At 35.0% G+C, this 25,040-nt stretch overlaps 1 annotated feature.

The window, feature by feature from the left end:
- Positions 11,763 to 12,666: an enhancer, noted in NCBI's record as "OCT4-NANOG hESC enhancer chr5:24208573-24209476 (GRCh37/hg19 assembly coordinates)". NCBI's record gives its function as "activates a minimal SCP1, AML or CMV promoter by ChIP-STARR-seq in naive H9 embryonic stem cells {active_cell/tissue: H9 hESC(naive)}" and the evidence as "EXISTENCE:reporter gene assay evidence [ECO:0000049][PMID:30033119]".

A 25,040-nucleotide genomic window follows, 5' to 3' on the forward strand; every position in this document is an offset into this window, starting at 1 on the left:
ATGTTTTTGGTCATCACATGTTAGTTTGATTATTTAGAACTTTTATTATTTTATTTTTATCTTTCTACTTTCATTATTTTGCTAAACATTTAAGCTTCCTACCTTCCAATTAACCTGACACACTGAATATTTTAACATCCCATTAAGTGGCAGCACATTAACTGAGGTGGGCCATCACACATATTCTGTTCTTTCTTTTTCATTATAGATTGTGTGTTTAGAGGTAGATATCTTAGCAATTAGTCATATGTTCCTGGAATATGAAGAGAGATGACAAATCCAATTAAGATGATATTGATACAGCAGAGATCCTGGAAACAGAGCTTAACACAGCATCTGGAATAAACATTGATTTTTCTCCCTTTGAAAATGGTGGGATTATGACAAATCTATTCACGGATATTTTTGAAGGTGTCTGTATGAGAAAACGGGTGTGTGTGTTTGGCAAGTGATACATTGTAGACATTGCTATTGCCTTTTCAAAAGTCCTTCAAACCTATTTCATTGTGTTACAGCTATGTTGCTTGGGTACGATTAACCCGATTAACCCAGTCATAACTGTAAAGATAGAACTCGATTAGTTTAAGAAAACATTTTCTACCTTGTGTGTAATGTTTATGATTCAGATTGATTCAAGTGACCCAGATTTTCAAACCAGAAAAAAATACAGCTTTTATGTAATAGTTGTCAGAGAGAGAGATGTTTTCTCTCCACCCTGGCTCTAAGTAATGGAGAATGTACTGGTTTATGAGATTGTTAGAATTTTTGTAATCTCAGATAGAAGCTGAAATACAGCGAAGGGCAGAGCCAAAAGATTCACCAAGAAACACAATCAGTATGCTTAAAAAAGTATGTCTGGATTCTACCTAACCTCACAACTATTAAGTAAGATTATCAATGCATTGACCTTGGTTTATATCAGCTAGTTTCCCAATATTTGCAACTAAAGCCTTTGGATATGGAGTGAGGTGGAAAGATGTTATCAGACTAATCTTCTGTTATTGTTGTTTCTTTTCACTTGATTTAAAATGGTGATGTTTACTAACAGAGGGCTGAATTTTGAAAGACAACATAAATTAAGGATATACTTGCTAATTTGAAGGAACTTCAAAACCACAAATAGGTTTGTCGATCATGTCATTGATTAGAAACTCAGATGAGAGGACTAGTAGACATTGAGCCATAAAGAAGTGAAGCAATATTTTTTCCACGGAAGAAATTACAGAATAAACACAAAGAAGGATTTTTACTGAACAACTTAAAACCATAAAAATTTGCAAATAGGAAGAACACAATGAGCCTGAAAACAAGAGCAGTGAGAAGGGACCAAAAAAATTGAAGGAAGGAAAAGCAAGACAGTACTAAGCAGCGCACACACACACACACACACACACACACACACACACACAATTTAATGAAAGAGTAGTACAATATTGCCAAATTCTATTGCGAGGTCAAGTAAAATGATAACTAATCTTTCATTTGATTTAGACAGATACATGTAATTGAATAGCTTAGAGAATGGTGTTTCTGTGATGGTGTGGAATTAGAAGTCAGACTAAAGGCATCAGCACATTTAGCAGAAAATGAGGACATGGAAACAGCATAAGTTTGACCAGTAATAAGAAGAAAATGTAGTTTATAAATATATGAATATGTACTTTAAAGAAGTTGTGTGTTTGTATATTTTTAATATATTTTGCTTTACTTTTTTCATACATAGACTTAGTTTTTTGGAAAAGTTTTATGTATATAGAAAAAAAATCACTCAAAATTAAAGAGTTCCTATATACCCTCCCTGCCACAAGAGTATTTGCTACTATTAATATCTTGCATTACTGAGATACATTCATTATAATTGATGAGCCAATACTGATAATTCTTTTAATTAAAATTCATAGTTTACATTAGGGTTTACTCTTCATGTAGATTGGTGCAACTTCATCATGTTAAGTATCCACCATTACAGTAACAGCAAATGTTTTCACAGTCCTGAACCTCCTCTGTGCTGCACTTATTCATCCCGCTCTTCTGCTTGGCAACCACCAATATTTTTACTGTCTCAATAGTTTGACCTTTTCTATAATGCCATATTGTTGAAATAACACAATATGTAGCATTTTCAGGTTGGCTTCTCTAACTCAGAAATGTGCAATTCAGTTTCCTTCATGTCTTCTGTGGCTTGGTAACTCATATCTTTTTAATTACTAAATAGTATTTCATTGTATGAATATGCTACCATTTGTTATCCATTCACCTATTGTATTCATGTTTAGATTGGCATGCTTATATATTTTATCTGTTTGATGGAAATACTTCAGAGAAGAAGAAATTCTTGAAGGTAGGGAGAACTAAGGGAGTCAATAGAGTAATGTTAGTTATAAGGTAAAATAATTTTTCTTCAATTGGAGAAAAGACACTATGTCTATTGAAAATCAGGAGAGGAGTAAAGATGGGGTGTAGCAATAAGAAATCTGTCAATTTCAGGGTGAAAACAGAGCTCTTATCAATTAAATTTTTTTTTTTTTTTGAGACAGAGTCTCACTCTTTCACCCAGGCTGGAGTGCAGTGGCATGATCTCAGCTCACTGCAAGCTCCACCTCCCGATTCACGCCATTCTTCTGCCTCAGCCTCCCGGGTAGCTGGGACTACAGGTGCCTGCCACCACGCCGGGCTAATTTTTTGTATTTTTAGTAGAGATGGGGTTTCACCTTGTTAGCCAGGATGGTCTCAAACTCCTGACCTCGTGATCCATGTGGCTCGGCTAATTTTTATTTTATGTGTTAATTGAGGTCTGAGTCTATCAGATAATAAGGAGCACAATAAAAGAGAATCTTTGGAATATTTTAGAATGAGTGTTGGAGAACCAGTTTGTATTTCTTTTCATATGCAATGATATTCACGACCCAGAAGTCCTCATTTACTCCCTCTTAAAGCTTGTGCAAGAAGCTGTTAATGCTTGTTTTAATTAAATTATCACTAATTGATCTTGTAAGTGAACACTGTTACCATATAAATTTATTTTTATATGGAGAATATCTTCCCAAAATAAAGTTTATTACTTTTATAGCATTTTGGCATTACTAAAATACTTCACAATTCACATTGATTTAATAGTGAAATATTTTTTCAATTAACAGCACAGTACCAAAACATAAAATTGTGTTTTATTTTTAAAGCATGTTCAAATTATATAAACTCAGAGAAAAATAATTGTAGTTTATAAACTATAAATCCATTCATAATTGCCCTCACATCACCTCATTTATGTAAATTAAACAAATTTTCTTCAATTGCTAAAAACTTGTTTTTAAAAGAACTCTCACAAACTGAATAAATTACCACACTTGTTTAGTGATAATTATGTACCCATTTAGGAAGCTCATGACATTAAAATTTATGATTATGCAATTAAAATTATCTTCACTTATAAAAAATAAATGTATATATTTCCAGATAAACAACAAAAATACAGACATTTTTTCTCCTGACAGATCTTCAGAGGGAAGACATTGAGAGTGTATGGAGGGAAGATACAGAAGCTGGACTGAATAAGAAGGAAGCTGAGAACCCTGCATGGGGCTACTGCACACCAGGACTTGTATCCAGCCCCCATCAACTCCAGGGGAACAGATGAGTTGAACTGGCAAGGAGCAACCTGCTCTCCTCATAGGCCTCTAGAATCCCAGAAGAAAGAGACCCCTCAACCACTATGGACACTTGAATTGGCAGGGAGAGCTGCTTAAAGAAGTGTCAGGGACTGCATGCCATCCAATACAGAGTCCAAAGGGTCTAGTGCCAGCGCATCTATAGTGGAGTGTGGCCAGAGATACCCACCCCCCGAGGCTTCACTTACTCCAATAGGGGACTTTAACTCTGAGGAAACTGTCAGACCTGTACTCTGCAGGGAAGTCTCCGCCATCAGATGGGGATGGTTCAACTGTGCTAGTTCTCTAGCAAGGGTTCTAAACCAGGTTGAGATGACTGATATGACAGAAATAGAATTCAGAATATGTATAGGAATGAAGATCACTGGGATGCAGGAGCACATTAAAACCAAATCCAAGGAAGCTAACAATCACAATAAAATGATATGGGAGGTGACAAACAAAATAGCCAGTATAGAAAGAATGTAAATAAGCTGCTAGAGCTGACAAGCACATGATGAGAATTTCATAACACAATTGCAATACTAATAGTAGAATACACCAAGCCAGGGAAAGTCTCAGAGCTTGAAGTTTAGCTTTGTGAAATAAGACAGTCAGACAAGAATAAAAAATAATAATAAAGAGGGATACACAAAACCTCTGAGAAATATGAGATTATGTAAAGGGGCCAAATGTATGTCTCTTGTCATCCCTGAAACAGATGGAAAGAATGGAAACAACATGGAAAACATATTTCAGGATATCATCAATAAAAACTTTCCCAACTTAGCTAGAGAGGCCAAAATTTAAATTTGGAAAATGAAGAGAACCCCAGTAAGATACTTCACAAGAAGATCATCCCTGAGACACATAATCATTAAATTCTCCAAAGTGAAAATCAATGAAAAAATGTTACAGTCAGCTAGAGAAAAAGGTCAGGTCACCTATAAAGGAAAACCCATCAGACTAACAGCAGACCTCTCAGCAGAAACCCTGTAAGTCAGAAGAGACTGGGGACCAATAGTCAACATTCTTAAAGAAAAGGAATTCCAATCCAGAATTTCATATACTGCCAAATTAAGCAAAGGAGAAATATGATCCTTTCAGACAAGTGAATGCTGAGAGAATTTATTTCCACTACATGTCTGCATAATAACCAGTTAACTTCATGATGTCAGGATCAGATTCACACATATCAGTACTAACCTTGAAGGTAAGTGAACTAAATACCCCAATTAAAACACACAGAGTGGCAAGCTAGATAAAGAACCAAAATCCAATTATGTGCTGTCTTCAAGAGACCTATCTCACCTGCAATGACACCCAAAGGCTCAACATAAAGGAATGGGGGAAGAAAAGTTATCAAGCAAATGGAAAACAGAAAAAAGTAGGAGTTGCAATCCTAATTTCAGACAAAAGAGATTTTAAACCAACAAAGGTCAAAAAGGACCAAGAATGGCATGATAAATGGTAAAGGGTTCAATTCAACAAGGCCAAATAATCCTAAATATATATCCACCCAACACAGGAGCACCCAGGTCATAAAGTTAAGTCCTTAGAGACCTTGAAAGAAAGAGACTTAAACTCCCATGCAAAAATAGTGGGAGACCATAACACCCCATTGACACTGTTATGCAGATCATCAAGGCAGAAAACTAACAAAAATATTCAGGACCTGAACTCAACACTGAACCAAATAGACCTGATAGATATCTACAGAACTCTCAATACCAAAACAACAGAATATACATTCCTTTTATCACCGCATAGCACACACTCTCAAATTGATCACATAATCAAAAATAAATAACTCCTCAGCAAATATAAAAGAACTGAAATCATACTAAGCACACTCTCAGACCACATCACAATAAAATTAGAAATCAAGACTAAGAAAATTGCTGAAAACCAGACAATTACATGGAAATTGAAAAACCTGCTCTGCAATGACCTTTGCATAAGTAGTGAAATTAAGGCAGAAATCAAGACATTCTTTGAAACTAATAAAGACAAAGATACAACATACAAGAATCTCTGGGACACAGCTAAGGCAGTGTAAAGAGGGACATGTATGGCACAAGATTCCCACATCAAAGAGTTAAAAAGATCTCAATTTAACAGCATATCACAACAAAAAGAACTTGAAAACCAAGATAACAATCCCAAATCAAGCAAAATGCAAGAAATAGCCAAAATCAGAGTGGAACTGAAGCAGATTGAGGGAGAAAACCATTCAAAAGATCAACATATTCAGGAGTTGGTTTTTGAAAAAATTAATAAAATACACTGCAAACTATACTAATAAAGAAGAAAAGAGAGAAGACCCAATGAACACAATTACAAATGACAAAGGGGATATTACCACTGACCCCCCAGAAATACAAATAACTATCAGATAATATTAGGAATACCTCTGTGCACACAGACTAGAAAACCTAGAAGAAATTAATAAATTCCTGGACACATACACACTCCCAAGACTGAACCAGGAAGAAATTAAATCCCTGAACAGACTGATAAGTTCTGAAATTGAGGCAAAAACGAAGAACCTACTAACAACAGCAACAACAACAACAACAACAACAACAACAACAAAAGCCCAGGACCAGAAGGATTCACTGAATTCTACTACATGTTTGAAGAGATGGTAACATTTCTACTGAGACTATTCCAACAATTAAAAAAAAAAAAGACTCTTCTAATTCATTCAATGAGGCCATCCTGATACTAAAACCTGAAGAAATACAACTAAAAAAGAAAACTTCAGGCCAATATACTTGATGAACAACAATGCAAAAATCCTCGGCAAAATACTGGCACAATGAATCCAGAAGCACATGGAAAAGCTTATCCACCATGATGAAGTAGGCTTCATCCCTGGGATGCAAGGTTGGTTCAACACATGCAAATCAATAAATGTGATTAATCACATAAACAAATGAAGATGGAAACCACATGATTATCTCATTAGATGCAGAAAAGTCTCTTGATAAAATTCAACATTGCTTCATGTTAAAAACTCTCAAAAAACTAGCTATTAATTTTAATGGCAAAAAGTGCAATTACTTTTGCACCAACCTAATAACATTATACTGAATGGGCAGAAGCTGGAAGCATTCCCCTTGAAAACTGGCACAAGACAAACATGACCTCACTCACTACTCCTAATCAACATAGTACTGGAAATACTGGCCACAGCAATCAGACAAGGGAAAAAAATAAAAGGCATTCAAATGGGAAGAGAGGAAGTCAATCTATCCCTGTTTCCAGATGACATGATTCTATATCTAGAAAACCCCAGTCTCAGCCCAAAAGCTCCTTTAGCTGATAAGCAACTTTAGCAAAGTCTCATGAAACGAAATCAAGGTACAAAAATCACTACCACCCCTATTCACCAACAACAGTCAAACAAAGAGCCAATTCAGTGACACAATCCCATTCACAATTGCCACAAATAGAATAAAAGACCTAGGACTACAACTAACCAGGGAGGTGAAAGATCTCTACAATGATAACTACAAAACACAGCTCAAAGAAATCAGAGATGACACAAACAAATGGAAAAACATCCCATGCTCATGGATAGGAAGAATCAATAGCATTAAAATGGCTATACTGTTCATTCAGCACAATTTATAGATTAAATGCTATTCTTATGAAATTATTAATAGCATTCTTCACACAACTAGAAAACACTATTTTTAAAACTCATATAGAACCAAAAAGAGCCTAAATAGTCAACAGAATCCTAAGACAAAAGAACAAAGTTAAAGGCATCATGCTACCCAACTTCAAATGATGCTACAGAGCTACTGTAACCAAAACAGCATGGTACACATAGACCAATGGGACAGAATAGAAAGCCCCCAAAAAAGACCTTACATGTACAACCATCTGCTGTTTGACAAAGCTGACAAAAAGAAGCAATAAGGAAAGGACTCCCTACTCAATAAGTAATATTGGGATAACAGGCTAGCCATATGGAGAAGATTAAAACTGGACTCCTTCCTTTCACTATATATAAATACAACTCAAGATGGATTAAAGACTTAAATGACAGACACCAAACTATAAAAACTGTGGAGGAAAACCTAGGTAATACCATTCAGGACATAGGCATGGGCAAAGATTTCATGAGGAAGACCCCAAAAGCAATTGCAACAAAAGTATAAATTGACAAATGGACTCTAATTAAACTAAAGTGCTTCTCTGCAGAAAAATAAACTATCAACAGAGTAAACAGACAACATAAAAATGGGAGAAAATATTTGCAAACTATGCATCTGACAAAGTTCTTATATCCAGCATCTATAAGGAACTTAAAATATTTACAAGAAAACAATCACATTAAAAAGTGGGAAAAAACATGAACAGACATCTTTCGAAAGAAGATATATATGTGGTCAACAAGCATATGAAAAAAAGCTCACCATCACTGATCATTAGAGTAATGCAAATCAAAACCAAAATGAAATGCCAGCTCGAACCATTCTGAATGGCTATTACATAAAAGACAAAAAATAGCAGATGATGGTGAGGATGAGGAGATGTGATGGTTAATATTGAGTGTCAACTTGATTGGGTTGAAGATTGCAAAGTATTGTTCCTGGGTGTGTCTGTGAGGGTGTTGTCAAAGGAGATTCACATTTGAGTCAGTGGTCTGGGAGAGGCAGACCCACCTTCAATCTGGGCGAGCACCATCTAATCAGCTGCCAGTGCAGCTAGGATAAAAGCAGGCAGAGAAATGTGGAAAGACTAGACTGGCTAAGCCTTTTGGCCTCCAGCTTTCTCCTATGCTGGATGCTTCCTGCCCTCAACCATCAGACTCTAAGTTCTTCACCTTTTAGACTCTTGGACCTACACCTGGGGCTTGCCAGGAGCTCTCTGGCCTTCAGCCACAGACTGAAGGCTGCACTGTTGGCATTCCTACTTTTGAGGTCCTGGGACTTGGGCTGGCTTCCTTGCTCCTCAGCTTTCAGATGGCCTATTGTGGGACCTCATCTTGTGATCATGTGAGTCAATACTCCTTAATAAACTCCCTTTCAAATATACATATATCCTATTAGTCCTAGCCCTCTAGAGAACCCTAATACAGGAGAAAAACAAATGCTTATACACTGTTGGTGGGAGTGTAAATTAGTTCAACAATTGTGGAAAGAAGGGTGGCAATTTCAAACAGAACTACTATTTGACCTAGCAATCCCATTTCTGGGTATATACAGAAAGGAATATAAATTGTTCTACCATAAAGACACATGCACATGAATGTTCACTGAAGCACTATTCACAATAGCAAAGACATGGAATCAACTTAAATGCCCATCAATGTTAGACTGGATTTTAAAACGTGGTACATATATACCATGAAATACTATGCAGTCATAAAAAAGAATCAGATCATATCCTTTTGCAGGAACATGGATGGAGCTGGAGGCCATTATCGTTAGCAAACTAATGCAGGAACAGAAAACCAAATACTGCATGTTCTCACTTATATATGGGAGATAAATGATGAGAACACATGGACACATAGAGGGGACCAACAAACACTAGGGTCTACCAGAAGGCAGAGGGTGAGAGGAGGAAGAGTATCAAGAAAAATAACTAAGGAGTACTATGCTTATAAGCTGGGTGATGAAATAATCTGTGCAACAAACCCTCATAACACACATTTACCTAAAAAACAAACCTGCACATGTACCCATGTACTTAAAATAGAAGTTAGAAAAAATGACACATGCATGTCTATGTTCATCACAGCACTAATGACAATAGCAAAGTCAGGGAATCAACATAAATTGTCATCAACAGTAGGCTGGATTAAAAATATGTGGTGATTATATACCATGGAATACCATGCAGCCATGAAAAAGAATGATATTTTTCCTTTGCAGCAACATGGATAAAGGTGCAGGCCGTAATCCATCATAATCGTAAATGAACTAATGCAGGAACAGAAAACCAAACATTGCATAGTCTCACTTTTAAGTAGCAGCAGCTAAACATTGAGTACACATGGACACAAAGAAAGGAACAATGGATACTAGGGCCTACTTGACGGTGGAGAGTGGGAGGAAAGAGAGAATTGAAAAACTATCATTGGTGCTATGATTATTATGTGGGTGATGAAATAATCTGTACACCAAACCCTCACGACATGCAATTTACCTATGTAACAAGCCTTCACATGTACAACAGAAATTAAAATAAAAGTAAAGAAAATATAGACATTTGTGTGTTTTTGGAAAATCTGTGGTAGTAAATATATTCACATAGCATACAATGATGACCATAAATCAATTATAACTAAGTGGGTTTTAGAATTTTATTTTCAAAATCCATACTACTTTTCTCAATCTGTGTATACCAAAAATATAATATCTCTTTTTAGGAAAAGTATAATATTATTTGAATAATAGTTTAATGGAAATAGCTAATTTAGAAATTATAATGCAAATCAAGAGGCATTAAAATTATTTTTTAATTAACTAAATTTACATAGATATCTTGAAATGACAGAAAATTAGAGTATCTGCAGTGCTATCTAAATTGAATATTATTAAAAACAATAAGTGCTTAATTATGCTTTGTTTGTGATCAAAAGTTAATGTGCCTAAAAATAATTTAAATGTAAGCATTACTGAGAGGGTTTTTAGACATGTCTGAAAGCTGTCTGAAAGGTCTAACGGCTACCTGGCTTTTGAACAGACTGGAACAGACTGATGTTGAGCAGAACATTTTGTATTTGCTATCTGGAACTTAGATTATATAATCTTTCTAGTGCCTATGTAAATAATAAAAAGATAAATGAAACAAAATAATATAGTAGGGTATGATTTTACTTTATATGCATGCATATACTAAATTACTAAATAAATATACTACATACTAAATACTAAGTATATTATTTACATATCTATTTCATATGTGAAAACCTGTGGCTTACATTTTTTATACCCTTTCCTTTGCTGATTTTATCAGCAAATCAGCAAAGGAAAAAGGTATATAGTGCACAATTTATCCTATAGAATTTAGGAGAAACCAGGTACAAGCCCTCAATTATTCTTCCCTAGTGGCATCAAACAGGCACCATTTAATTCTCCAAGCAATGACGTATGGTGACACGTAAGTGTTGGCAAACAGAGAAGCCCAGCTGAGTTTTGAGGACAGGGTTTTTATTGGCAGTCAGTCTTGTAGGCATGAGGCACCCACATAACCAAACTGCTCTATTTGGCTCCATCCCATCAGAGGTCAAACTGATACAGAGTGGCCCAAATCCCCAGGTACACAAAAACAGCTGTACACTAAAAGTTACATTATTGGCATGAACTATCTGGTATGGCCCAGATTCTCAAGGATACAAAGACATTCTTATAGGCAGAATATTCCAAGGGCTCAGAGGTTATCTCCCTGGAACAAGTAAGGGGCCAGCACTATGTTTGGAATATTCAACGTTTGAGCCCACCAAGCTCACTGGGTTATCCCTTTACTGTACAAGTAAAATTTATAGAACTAGAAAAATCCTAAGGCAATCCAATCATTTAAGAAATAATTTTGAACTGTTATCATGTGCGATGCACTATTGTAAGTGTCAGGTAGATAGCATTGAACAAAAGAACCCCCATCTCCTAATTTCACAAAGCTTACATTTTCCAGGAAATAATTGTAAATACACAAAATGAAAAACAAGGAAAATAGTATATTAGATGCTAACTAGTGCTCTGTGAAATAATAAATTAGAAACAGGATGAGTGTGTAATGATTTTTATTTTAATCAGATTTTATTGGAAAGGCCTTCCTCTGACGGCAGTATGCTAGTTAAATGTGTGCAGGTCGTGAGGAAGCAAGCCTTGTGGACACCTGGTAAATACCATTCCAAGTAGGCAGAATCGGCATATAGGAGCACCCATCTGGAGATTCATGTTATGCTGGAAGAACAAGGAGGCAGTGTGACTGGAGTCTGGTAAAATGAGAGAGGAAGAGAAGTAATGAAGCCAGATGTGTAAGTGGTGGCAAAATTTTTTCTAGTTATTATTTTCAACATTCATTATTTGTATTAATATTCATTATGAGATTATTATAATTATATTTCAAATTATATAAAAATGGTTTGGAATGACACAGATTTGCAAAAGGAGATAAAGGCATTTTTGATCCTGACTATTAGAACCAAGGGCTAAGAAAATGCTTTGCTCCATGTAGCACTTTTAGTTTGTTATTTGAAATGTTACATTCAAATTATCTTGTAAATACTACTGCTTTATGAAAAGTATCAATAATTGACGATATCACAGGTGGCCCTTTTTTAAAAGAGAACAAACAGATTTTGGCACCACAGAGCTACTCAAAGAGATCACCATGGGTCACTGTCATACAATGCTCACTCTGCACTATTCTTTCTTAGCCATTGCCTTTTCACATGCCTTTCTTCCCACAGCTGGACTTCTTTGTCATATGTAACGTATCATGCGGTGCACATTTTCTCTCCTGTCGCCCATGATTGAGAACAGATGTTATATGCGTTATAATTGTCTTCAGGAGATCTTGATGCCTTTTAATGGCACTCTGTACCTTTTATAATCAGGAGGCTTAGCTGCATGCTTAGAGGCCCATGAAGAATAGAACTTCTTTGTATTGTAGGTCTTCACATATAACCTCTAGGCCTGCTGTTCCCCTTTCACTGCTTGCTGGAACAATTAGCATTGGTAAGGGTTTTTCACAACAGGTATTAATGCCTTACTGAAAGAGGTGAGGACATTTGGCTTTTCCAAGAGGCAAGGATTGAGCTATGGAAGATAAAAGGTTTCCTGAGGGAAAAAAATAAAACAAACTTTTTAATTTTCCTTACTCTATCTTTCCATTCAAAATAAGTTAATTTTTAGTTTTTAATTACTTGATGTCAAAGAACAAGGAAAACAAGGTTTATATTCAAATTTGGGTTATCAAAACGTAAAATGTGTTTTTATAATTTTTAATTATTTTGATTGGATCAGAGAGTAATACAAATAAAATCTTGCAGAAGGCCTTCTATGTGAATGCTAGATTGTTTTCTCTGAAGAATTTTGGATAAACCATCAGATGAGTCTACACTCTATGTATGTATTGATACATAGAGTATAGACTTCAATGAATGCAAATGGACTTATTCCATCTGTTTCTCTGTTTTGTTTGTTTGTTTGTTTGTTTGTTTTCCATTTGGGGAAAAGACAAGCTAATGAGAGAGCTGAACTCAGGGAAAGGGGCTTCACTGTGATCCTAAAACATCATCTGCATTCCAATGGTTGAGTCTTTAAATGCATTTTTCTGTTCACTGTAATGACCTTACATAGGTTCTTAAAACTCTGAAGCCTTGGTTCTTGTGTTCAAAATTAATATTAGTAATGATAACAATATTTATTAGGAGTTAGTTTACTGTGTGCTTTATAGCCATTTACTTTACATTTTGCTACAGCAGTACGTAGTAGTGGAGTTGGGAGTCCAAATCCAAATTCCTTCATGTATAATCTATTTGATTCCTCCAAAACACTTTTTCAGCCCTCTCCTGGTTAGCACACTTAATTTTATGCCTGATTTTCTTCAAAGCAACCATTTGTTCTGCATAGTCTCTGTTGTACTCTGTAACAAACTATATATATATATATATATATATATATATATACACACACACACATATATGTATACATGCGTATATATGTGTGTGTATATATATGTGTATATATGTATATATATACATCTATATATATACACATATGTATACACACACATACATACACACACACACACATACATATATGTAAACTGATTACTTTCTCTAACTTCCTAACTAGAATTGAAATTTTTCACTTAATTTAAAATGTTTACGGTTAATATAACTCTTCAACAGAAAACAGTCAGGTGACCATAAGAGCCCCGTGAACTTGGCATGAGATTTCTTTAAATATTCAGATCAATTTGAGAGGAGTGGACACCTTAAAAATATTGACTCTTTCTGTCCTTGAGCATTGTATATCTGCCCAATTATTTACATATTCTTAGTTTAAGCACTGTGTTCCAATGGTGCCATTGGATGACATCGGGAATGTTCTTTTTCCCTGTATTTGAATCATTTTGTACAATGCTGGCATTATTTTCTTTTTAAATATTTAAAACAAATTACTTGTGAAGATATCTGGAGCTAAAATTTTCTTCAAATGCAAGATTTTGTTTTTTGTTAGAAGAATAATTTTTTCACTGTATTAATTTTCACTGTATCAATTAACACACGGCCCTTCAGACTTTCTCTTTCTTCTTATGTCAGTATAATTCGTGTATTTTATAAAATGTTATACATGTCTTCTAAGGTGTAAAATTAGTAATTATAAAATTATATATATTTTCTCTCTATTACCTTTTAATGTCCATCATAAGATCTGTATTAATGCCCCCTCTTTTACTTGTAATATTGATAATTCTACCAACAACCCTTGAACTTGAGGGGGACAGAAAAACCTCAAATGAAATTGCAACTCGAAATAATCACTGTGACTTTTTTGTTAACTCCGCCAGGATTTTATCAGTTTTATGAACCTTTTCAAATAACTTGCTTTTAGTTTTATTGATATTTCTCTCAAGATTTTTCTTTTATTGTTTTCAGCTTTTATGTATATTTATTCCATATTTTAATTTATTTTAGGTTTAATTTACTCCTGTTTTCCCACCATCTAGTGATGAAAACTTTGTCCATTGATCATAAAGACTTAAAGCTCTAAAAATTTCTTTAAGCATCCCAAATTCTGATTATGTTCATATGAAGTTCCAAATATTTTTATATCCTTACAATTTATTTATTCAGCTATTCATGATCATATGGAATGGTATTAAACAGTTTCTGACTATTTGAAAATTTTCTACATACTTTTGTTGTTGATTCTAATTTAATTTAACTTTTGTCAGAAATTTATCAAGACTTATTTTACATTTCAAACGATAGTTCATCTTTGTGAATGCTCCATATGTTCTTGAAAAAACTGTGTGTTTTACAGCAAGGTCACTTTATTTTATATGATCAGATCTCCAGCGTTGCCCTGTATAACTTTTGTCTCACTTGTATAACTTCTGTAATCTCTATTTTACTCACAGCTCTCTAGGACTGTTCTCTGCCTGACCTCTCAGAATGTTGTTTTTTATATGTACAACTTAATATTGAGATACTGGCTGAAGGAAGCAGTTTTTGGGATTTGCTTACTTCCACCTTCTCTAGTTAACTATCCCTCAAATTGTAGCCGTCTCAACAGCCCCATCCCCTGATCTCTACCTATTTTACTCAGCAAGACCACTGCTATGTGATTAAGGTCCACTTCCTGTGCTGCAGTTTGAAAAGTGCTCCATGCACAAAACTGTTTTCAAAATGACTCTGTCTCATTGGGATCACAACCTTCTGCTTTCTGTTATTCAATGAACAAAGCCAGTTGAAAGATTCATTTTGCATGGTAATATGGTGGATACTTATGTAAGCAGGTAAATCACCTCCCTATTCTGTTCCATTGGCCTGGGTGCCTGTTTTTGCACCAGTACCATGCTGTTTTGGTTACTGTACCCTTATGGTATAGTTTGAAGTAAGATAATGTGATGCACCTGGCTTTGTTCCTTCTGCTTATATTTGCCTTGGCTATTCAAGCTCTTTTTTTGGTTCCAAAGAAATTTTAGAATAGATTTTTTCTAGTTCCGTGAAAATTACATAGGTAGCTTAATAGAAATAGTGATGAATCTGTACTTTGCTTTAGGTAGTATGGCCATTTTAATGACATTTATTCTCTTAATTCATGAGCATGTAATGTTTTCTATATTTGTTTGTATTTTCTATTATTTCTTTCAGCAGTGTTTTGTAGTTCTCATAGAGATCTTTCACCTCCTTGGTTAGATGTATTCCTAGGTATTTTATTTTTTTTTGTTGCTATCATAAATGAGACTGCATTCTCGATTTGGCTTTCCACTTGCATATTATTGGGGTATACAAATGCTACTGATTTTGTACAACTTTTTTTCTTTTAGTTCTGCAGCACCTTTTTTTTTAAAAAAATAAACATATTTGTGTTATTTTTTGGTAAATTTGTATAACTTCTCTTTGTTGTTTCTTTATTATCCTCCCATTCTATCTACCTGCCTTTTATAGTCAACTAGGTTGTAATCAAAGAAAATGGAATCTCAGCGTTATTTCTCCTTTAGTACCAATTCCACTTATTCTTTGGCATCGAATTAGATGTTAATCAGGACATTTGCTTGCAGATTTTTATATAACAAATATTAAAAAAAGGACTGTGACACTTACTTTTAGGAAAATCTTAGATTTCTGCTGGTCTCAGTGGACAAGTTTATACCAATACCCAGTTCTCTTAAATCAGTCTATTTTCTATGCAAATAGAAAATATGCAAAGCTAAAGTTATGCTTTAGCTTTTATAACCACAGCTCTGCTTTGACTATCTTAAACATCGCCACTCATCTTTTTAAAAATATTTATTGCATTTATTTCATCTATTCCAAACTTTATCAACTATACTTAATTTGTTACTTTTATTTGATTATCTACCCTCCTCCGAGGATTATTTTACTTTGCAATTTACCTTCAAAATCATTATATCTTTTCACTAGTTGTTTCAATTTCCCTCAGTCTCAACATCTACAATGCCCCTTCCTCCAACTCAAAGTGCCTTTTGTCTTCAGATATAATCTTATACTTCTTTTGATGAGAGAAAGAGCTATTTTATTCACATTTCACAATTAAGTATTTAGTTGGGAGGCAAACAGAGCATAGAATAAGTACAGAGACTCTAGAACTCCAATGCCTTGACCTACTTGTCAAATCCTTGACCTACTACTTATTACTTGTATAATCCCGGATAAATTACATTATATCTCTGTGCTCCAATTCCTCAATGACAAAGTTTAACAGTAATGGGCATCACTCAGTAGTTTTCCATTAACAATTAAATAAATTAACCTATGTAGAGCACTCAGAACAAGATTTAGCACATAAAATGTACTCAATAGATGTAAGATATTCCACTATAACTATTTTCTGAATTTTCAGCTTTTGTGTATGTGTGTACCTAACATGATTCTTTTTATGTATATGTTACTCTGAGATGAATTTTCTTATGTCTGTAAAATATTATTTTACTAACTCATAATTTTCCTTAATGATTTTCCTGTTCTTTCTCATTAAATATTTTAATAGACAGTATTTTTTCAGAGAACTTTTAGGTTCAGAGCTAAATAGAGTTTAACTTCTCTAAACTTATGTCCCAAAACAAGAAGAAATTGGACTCACTAAATGTTCCAGCAGCAGGGATCAGAATAAGCCTTTTTATATCTCTTCGCACAGGAATTGTGATCCTATTCCTTAGTCTTTACAAAGCCCCTAATTACTAATATATCAACCTGATAAATGTTAATTCATATATGAGCTAGAATTTTCAGTATTGTACTTTTCCATTTTATAAAAATGTCACCCCTAAGTTTTAATAGACTTTACTTTTAGGACAGTTTTAGTTGTCTCCAAAAAATCTACTGAAGGTACAGAGATTCCCCATATATCCTATTCCCCCACACATGCATAGCCTCTCCCATTATCAATATCCACCTCCATGGTGGTATATTTGTTACAATTGATAAACCTACATTGACACATCATTATTACACATCATATCATTATTAAACTATTAAATTCCACAGTTTACATTAGGACTCATGACACTTTATTGTCTCCCAAAGCCCATAGTTCACATTAGGGTTCATGCTTGGTGATGTGTATTTTATGGGTTTTGACACATGTATAATGACATATATCCACCATTGTAGCATCATGCACAATAGTTGCAGTGCCCAAAATCTCATCTGTGCTCTGCTTATTTATCCATCCCTCTCATATCCCCTCGCAACCACCAATTTCTTTTTTACTGTCTGCATAATTTTGCCTATTCCAGAATGTCATATAGTTGAAATAATATAGTACATAGCATTTTCAGATTGACTTCTTTTACTTAATAATATGTATTTAAACTTTTTCCATGTCTTTTTATGGCTTAGTAGCTTACTTAATTTTAGTGTTAAATATTCCATTGTCTGGATGTACCACAATTTATTTATACTTTTACCTATTTAGTTGCTTCCAAGTTCTAGCAATTATGAATAAAGCTGTTACAAACATCCTTGTCCAAATATTTTTTCAGATATAAATTTTCAGTTTATTTGAGTAGATACCAAGGAGAACAATTTCTGGATATTTGGTAAGAGTATACTCAGTTTTGTTCAAAGATATCAAACTGTCTTCCAAAGTGGCTGTACTGCTTTACATTCTCACCAGCTCTGAATGAGCGTTCCTGGTGCTCAACAACCTGGCAAGCATTTGGTGTGGTCCATGTTTTAGATTGGCCATTCTAAGAGATGTGTAGTGGTATCTATTTTTTTTAATTTGCAATTCCCAAGTGACATATGATATTGAACATCTTTTTAACGTGTACTTGCCATTTGCATGTGTTTAGTGAGGTGTCTGTTCAAGTCTTTTGCCCATTTTTTAATTGGGTTGTTTGTTCTCTTCTTGTTGAGTTGTAAGTATTCTTTGTGTATTTTAAACAGCAATCCTTTATTAGATGTCTTTTGTAAATACTCTCTCCCAGTCTGTTTCTTGTCTTTTTATTTTCTTGACATTGTCTTACATTAATTAAATATTTTTTCAAAAGAATATCTATAGTAATTGTTCTAAATTCTTCATCAAATAGGCCGGATTATAATTTTTGATCAAGTGAAAAGATTAGCGAGAGAAACAGTTTGGGCTTAGTTTTTAGTTTTTCTATTACCATAAGACAACTTTCTGCTCCTTTAGAGGAAGCAATTTGTCATGTCATTGACAACCAGCCTCTCCGTCCTACTTATTTCCCACTCAATGAAACAGAAACTAGAATGTCTTCAGCCTCATAATCCAGTGACAGGTGTACTGATAGATATGGAAGGATAAATGTATTTTCTCACATACAGTGACATGTGAAGCAAGATACTTAGATACTACTAGTTCTAGTAAGTAATCTAATTGCAATTACATTTATTTAATTACTCTAATTAAGTAATTATAGTTTATGAATTCTTCCAAAATAAAAAGGATTCTTTGTGTACGTGTGTGTGTGAGTGTGTGTGTGTGTGTGCGTGTGTGTTTATAATGTGTTTTGGGGAATGAAAGGGCTAAATTAGAATCTGAAATTGGCATCTACACCAGAATCTGATACAAAAAAAACTTCAATATTAAAGATTATGGAGTACTATTTAATAAAATTTAAATACTGTTTCATTGATCATCACGAAAGTTATATTTTGATCTCCTTTGGACGAGGACCTAAATAGAAGAGATTTGTTTTGACTTCAAATGTTTTGTCTTTTTCTGGGGAGATAAGATTCTTTTGAGATGGTTGATAGAGTTATGATTTTGACTGTTTTAAAAGAAGAGCTTTTATCATATCTTCCTTGTAATAATATTCACGTAGCTATCTCATAGACCTGTATGTTTGAAGTGGGGGAAACTGTCAAAGCACAATTACTTATGGAAAACAGAGGTTATTCTCATGTGTATTAGGTTTTAAGGGTTTCGTCAGGAAGAGGCTGGAGTGTCCTACCCACTTCCCCATCCTACTCTCAATCATTCAAATATTTTCACCAGAGAAAACATTCCTACTACACTAGATTTTTTACTGTAATGTAACAAAATTATCACAAACCTAGTAGCTTAAAGCTATACATGTTAAAGCTTAATGCAGATTTATAATCTCTTAATTATATGGGTCAGGAGTCTATGCAAAAATTAGTATGTTCTCTGCTCAGGGTCTCACCAGACTGAATTCAACATGTTAGCTGGGATTGCAATCTAACTTGAGGTTCAGCCTCTTCTTCCAAATTCACTGGTTGGTGGTGGGATTCAAATTTCTGCAGTTATAAAATTGAGGCCCTAAGTTCTATTTATTTATTTACTTTTTTTTTCTTTTTCTTTCTTTTTTTTTTTTTTTTTTGAGTTGGAGTCTTGCTGTCACCAGACTGGAATGCAGTGGCGCAATCTTGGCTCACTGCAATCTCCACCTCCCAGATTCAAGGGATTCTTCTGCCTCAGCCCCCCGAGTAGCTGGGATTACAGGTGCACACCACCACACCCAGCTAATTTTCATATTTTTAGTAGAGACGGGGTTTCACCATGTTGGCCAAAATGGTCTTGGTCTCCTGACCTCATGATCCGCCCACCTTGGCCTCCCAAAGTGCTGGGATTACAGGCGTGAGCCACTGCGCCCGGCCGAGGCCCTCAGTTTTTAGAAGCCAGTTGTCAAGCGCTGCTCTGTGGCCCTTTTGACAATAGAATATGGACTTTTCTTCTTCAAGGCCAGAAAGAGAATGTCTCTGATACTATAAATGTCTCCGACATTTTGTAGAACACAACATGAGACATACCTTTTGAAAAACTTTACAGTATTTTTAACTAGAGGCACAAGAATGGACAGCACATCCCTGGCATTAATTCATCTTCCATAACTAAAATAATATACCCAATGAAGAGCAACTCCACATTTTCCCCTACTGCCAGTGCCCGGCAACCACCATTCTACTCATTCTGTTCTGTTTCTATGAGTTTGACTATTTTATGTACCTCTTGTAAATCAAATGATGCAGTATTTGTCTTTCTGTGACTGGCTTATTTCACTGCATAATGTCTTGCAGGTTCATCCCTGTTGTCACAAATGGCAGGATTTTCTTCTTTTTAAAAGCTAAGTGATACTCTGTTGCATGCATATACTACATTTTTTAAATTCATTCACCCATTAGGGGACATTTAGGTTGTTTCCATATCTTGGCTATTGTGTGAACAATGCCGTAGTGAATACAGAAATGCAGATATGGGAGCCAGGCATGGTGGCTCAAGCCTGTAATCCCAGCACTTTGGGAAGCCGAGGCAGGCAGATCACCAGGTCAGGAGTTCTAGACCAGCCTGGCCAATATGGTGAAACCCCATCTCTACTAAAAATACAAAAATTAGCCAGGCATGGTGATGCTTGTCTGTAATCCCAGCTACTCGGGAGGCTGAGGCAGAAGAAATGCTTGAACGTGGGATGTGGAAGTTGCAGTGAGCCAAGATTGTGCCACTGCACTCCAGCCGGGGAGAGAGAGCGAGACTCCGTCTCAAAAAAAAAAAAAAAAAGAAAGAAAGAAGGAAAAAGAAAAATAAATGCAGATATGTGCTTTCAAGATCCTGACTTCAATTTTCAATTTATATGTGTGTGTGTATATGTGTATATATATATATATATATGTATATGTGTGTATATATATATATATATATATATATATATATACCTGTAAGTGGGATAGAAAGCATTGGTACCATCTTGGCTCACTGCAACCTTAACCTCCTGGGTTCAAGCAGTTCTCATGCTGCAGCGTCCTGAGTAGCTAGGATTGACAGACATGCACCACTACGCCTGGCTAATTTTTGTATTTTTAGTAGAGATGGGGTTTTGCCATGTTGGCAATACTGGTTTGAAACTCCTGGCCTCAAGTGATCTACACGCGTTGGCCTCCCAAAGTGCTGGGATTACAGGCATGAGCCACCACACTGGCCATTTGACCCATTTTTAATTAGGTTATTTATTATTTTGTTAGTAAGCTGTAGGAGCTATTTATATCTTTGGGCTACTAACCTCTTAACAGATATGGTTTGTAAATATTTTTTCCAATTCTATAGGTTGCCTTTTCACTCTGTTGTTTTTTTCCTTTGCTATGCAGAAGCTTTTTACTTTGATATAGTACCACTTTCTACTTTTACATTTTTTTTTTTTTTTTTGGTTTGTTCTTCTGGTATCATATTCAAGAAATCATTGCCAAAACCAGTGTCATGAAACTTTTCCAATATACTTTCTTCTAGGAGTTTTACATTTTCAAATCTTAAGTCATTAATTCACTTTTAGCTGATTTTTGCATGTGGTATAAGTGTCCATATTCATATACATTTTTGGTAAAAAATGAAAACAGTATTAAATAAACTTTACTTCATTAAATTTGCCAAAATAATTGACTCCATTATTACAGTCACCATGTATCATTCAAAATCCTAATAGGCTTATTTTTCCTTATAGTAAATTTTGGCACCAAGGATTTCATTGTTAGTCACTGATAATAACATATTTCATTTAGAATCTAATCTTCTCGGATTCTAATCACATGAAGTTGTGAGGTCACTTGGACCAGTGCTGCCCAAAATAATAACCATTGGTCACATGTGGCTTTTTAGCTCTAGATGAATTAAAATTAAATAATATAAAAAGTTCTGTTCCTCAATTATACTAGGTGATAGGACTTGGCTGTGTCCTCACGCAAATCTCATCTTGAATTGTAGTTCTAATAATCCCTATGTGTCATGGGAGGGACCCGGTGGGAGGTAATTGAATCATGGGGGTTTTTACTCCTATGCTGTTCTCATGATAGTGAGGGATTTCTCATGAGATCTGGTGGTTTTATAAGCATCTGGCAGTTCCCCTGCTGGCTCTCATTCTCTCTCCTGCTGCCCTGTGAAGAGGTCACTTCTGCCATTACTGTAAGTTTTCTGAGGCCTCCCCAACCATGTGGAACTGTGACTTAGTTAAACCTCTTTTCATTATAAATTACCCAGTCTCAGGTATTTCTTCATAGCAGCATGAGAATAGACTAATACACTAGGCATATTTTAAATACTCAGTAGGCCTATGAGACTACTGGCTCATGCATTGGATAGTATAGATAGAGAACATTTCCATTATCACAGAAAGTTCTATTGCACAACCGTGGCATAGAGCAATAGGTCTCAAACTAACTTGCCCTAGAATGACTTGAAGGGCTTGCTAAAATATGTTAGATTCCTTCCTCAATAGGACTACAGTGAGGTTTAAGAATTTTCATTTCTGTGAAGTTGCTAGGTGAGATTGATGTTGCCCTACTGGGAAGCACAGATTAAGAGCCATTGATTTAGAGTTATTGATTCATTTGCCCAAACTTACAGAAAATACTAAGTAACAGTATTCTAACAGATAGAAGAGTTGTATGTCTAAGTATATGTTTAATATTAGAGATCCTGATAGTAGAGAGGAGAATTGCTCTCAGTCAATAGTATTTTAATGCTATCTATAAGTATAAATGGATATAACCCCTAAAAAATTGAAATAAAAAATAAATAAATACATTAAAATATTTTTAAAAACCTTTTTATTTGTTGATATTTTAGGCAGAGGCAATTTGATTTAAATAAAATACATAACATTTTAAAAATTGATGGTATATTTGCTGTAAATGCAAGAGAGTATTTAACAAGGAACATACAATTTACGTTACTGAAATAGGTGAAATGATTGAAATATGTGAATATATATATATTTAGATAGCTTTCATAAAGTCACTGTAATAGAGTGCTATTTGTGCAAATGAGTGCAAACATTAATTTACTGATCTTTAAATTTCACTTTATTCATGAAAAATTTTGCAATACAATATACTGTATTTTAGTGGTTTTTGGTGACATGGATGAATATTTTAGTGGTAAAGTCTGAGATTTTAGTGCATTCATCACCCAAGTAGTGCACATTGTACCCAATATATAGTTTTTTTCCTCGTGTCCCAACCATCCTCCCTCTTCTGAGTCTACAGTACCATTATACCACTCTGTATGCCTTTGCTTGGCCATGACTTAGTTCCCACTTATAAATGAGAACATATGGTATTTGGTTTTCCATGAGTTACTTCACTTAGAATAATGGTCCCCAGGTCCACCCAAGAGTCTGCAAAAGACATTATTTCATTTTTACGGCCAAGTAGTATTCCATGGTGTATATATATACCACATTTCTTTACTCACTTATCAGTTGATGAGCACTTCTTAAGTTGATCCCATATCTTTGTAATTGTGAATTGTGCCATGATAAAATATGTGTGCAGGTGTCTTTTTTATATCATAAATTATTTTTCTTTGGAAAGATTCTCAGTTGTAGGATTGCTGGATTGAAAGGTAGATCTACTTTTAGTTCTTTGAGACATCTCCACACTGTTTTCCATAGAGGTTACACTAATTTACATTCCCACCAGCAGTGTATAAGCATTCCTTTTCACCACATCTGTTGTGGCTCCTTCACTCCCATAGTTCAACAAGTGGGAGACAGTGTTACAGCTCTTCTACTCCCACAGTTCGGCAAGTTCTAACTTCTTTTCTCATGACCAAGAGGAATGAGGTATGTGGACACCAGAGAGTGAATAAGGCAGAGTAGAGTTTTACTGAGTAACAGAAAGAAAGCTCTCAGCAGTGAAAGGGGACCCAAAAGTGGGTTGCTGGCTACAAGGCTGAGTCTGGGGCTTTTATTGGCTTATAATGAGGAAATGCATGCTGATTGTTTTATAGGTAGGCTTGGAAAAGGCATCATTCAAAAAGAGATAATTAGTGTAGATAATCAACTGGGGGCCGAAGTGAAGGCTTCTCTCAGGACCTTGGGCTGAGACCAGTCAGGAGCTGGAGTGAAAGTTTGGCCCAGGAACTTGGATTGGGACCAATCAGAGCAGAGTGCACTGAACGGGAATGGAAGTTCTCACTCTGCTCTGTGGACTCTGTCTGAATCTGGTAGTTTGATGTTCAGGCTTCAGAGTGTCCTTGACTTGAAGGTCAAGTTTCACTGGGGACCTGCCCCTGTCTGCCTAGGAATTTGTCTGCCTGCTATCACTATCTCATCCACATCAACATCTATTGTTTTTTGACTTTTAATATGGTCATTCTGTCCTGGGCAAGGTGGTATCACATTGTGGTTTTAATTTGTGTTTCCCTGAAGATGAGCAATATTGAGCATTTTTTCATGTTTTTTGCCATGTGTATATCTTCTTTTGAGAAATTTCTATTCATGCCATTTGCCCACTTTTTGATGGAATTATTTATTTTTTATTGCCAATCTGTTTGAGTTCCTTGTAAATTCTGGATATTAGTCCTTTGTTGAATACATAATTTGCAGATATTTTCTCCCATTCTGTGAGTTGTCTGTTTACTCTGATAATTATTTCTTTTGCTATGCATAAGCTTTTTGTTTTAATTAGGCCCTATTTATTTATTTTTGGTTTTCTTTCATTTGCTTTTGTAATCTTTGTCATAATTTTTGGCCTGGGCCAATGTTGAGTAGAGTTTTTTTCAGATTTTTTTTTCTATAATTTGTATGGCTTCAGGTCTTATATTTAAGTATTTAATCCATCTTGCAGTGACTTTGGATATGGTAAGAGATAGGTATCTCATTTCATTCTTCTATATGTGGCTATTTAGTTTTCTCAGCATTACTTATTGAATAGGATGTCCTTTACTCAATTTATGTTTTTTTAATGCTTTATTG

Source organism: Homo sapiens, chromosome 5 (assembly GCF_000001405.40).
Source record: "Homo sapiens chromosome 5, GRCh38.p14 Primary Assembly".
Classification (NCBI taxonomy): domain Eukaryota; kingdom Metazoa; phylum Chordata; class Mammalia; order Primates; family Hominidae; genus Homo; species Homo sapiens.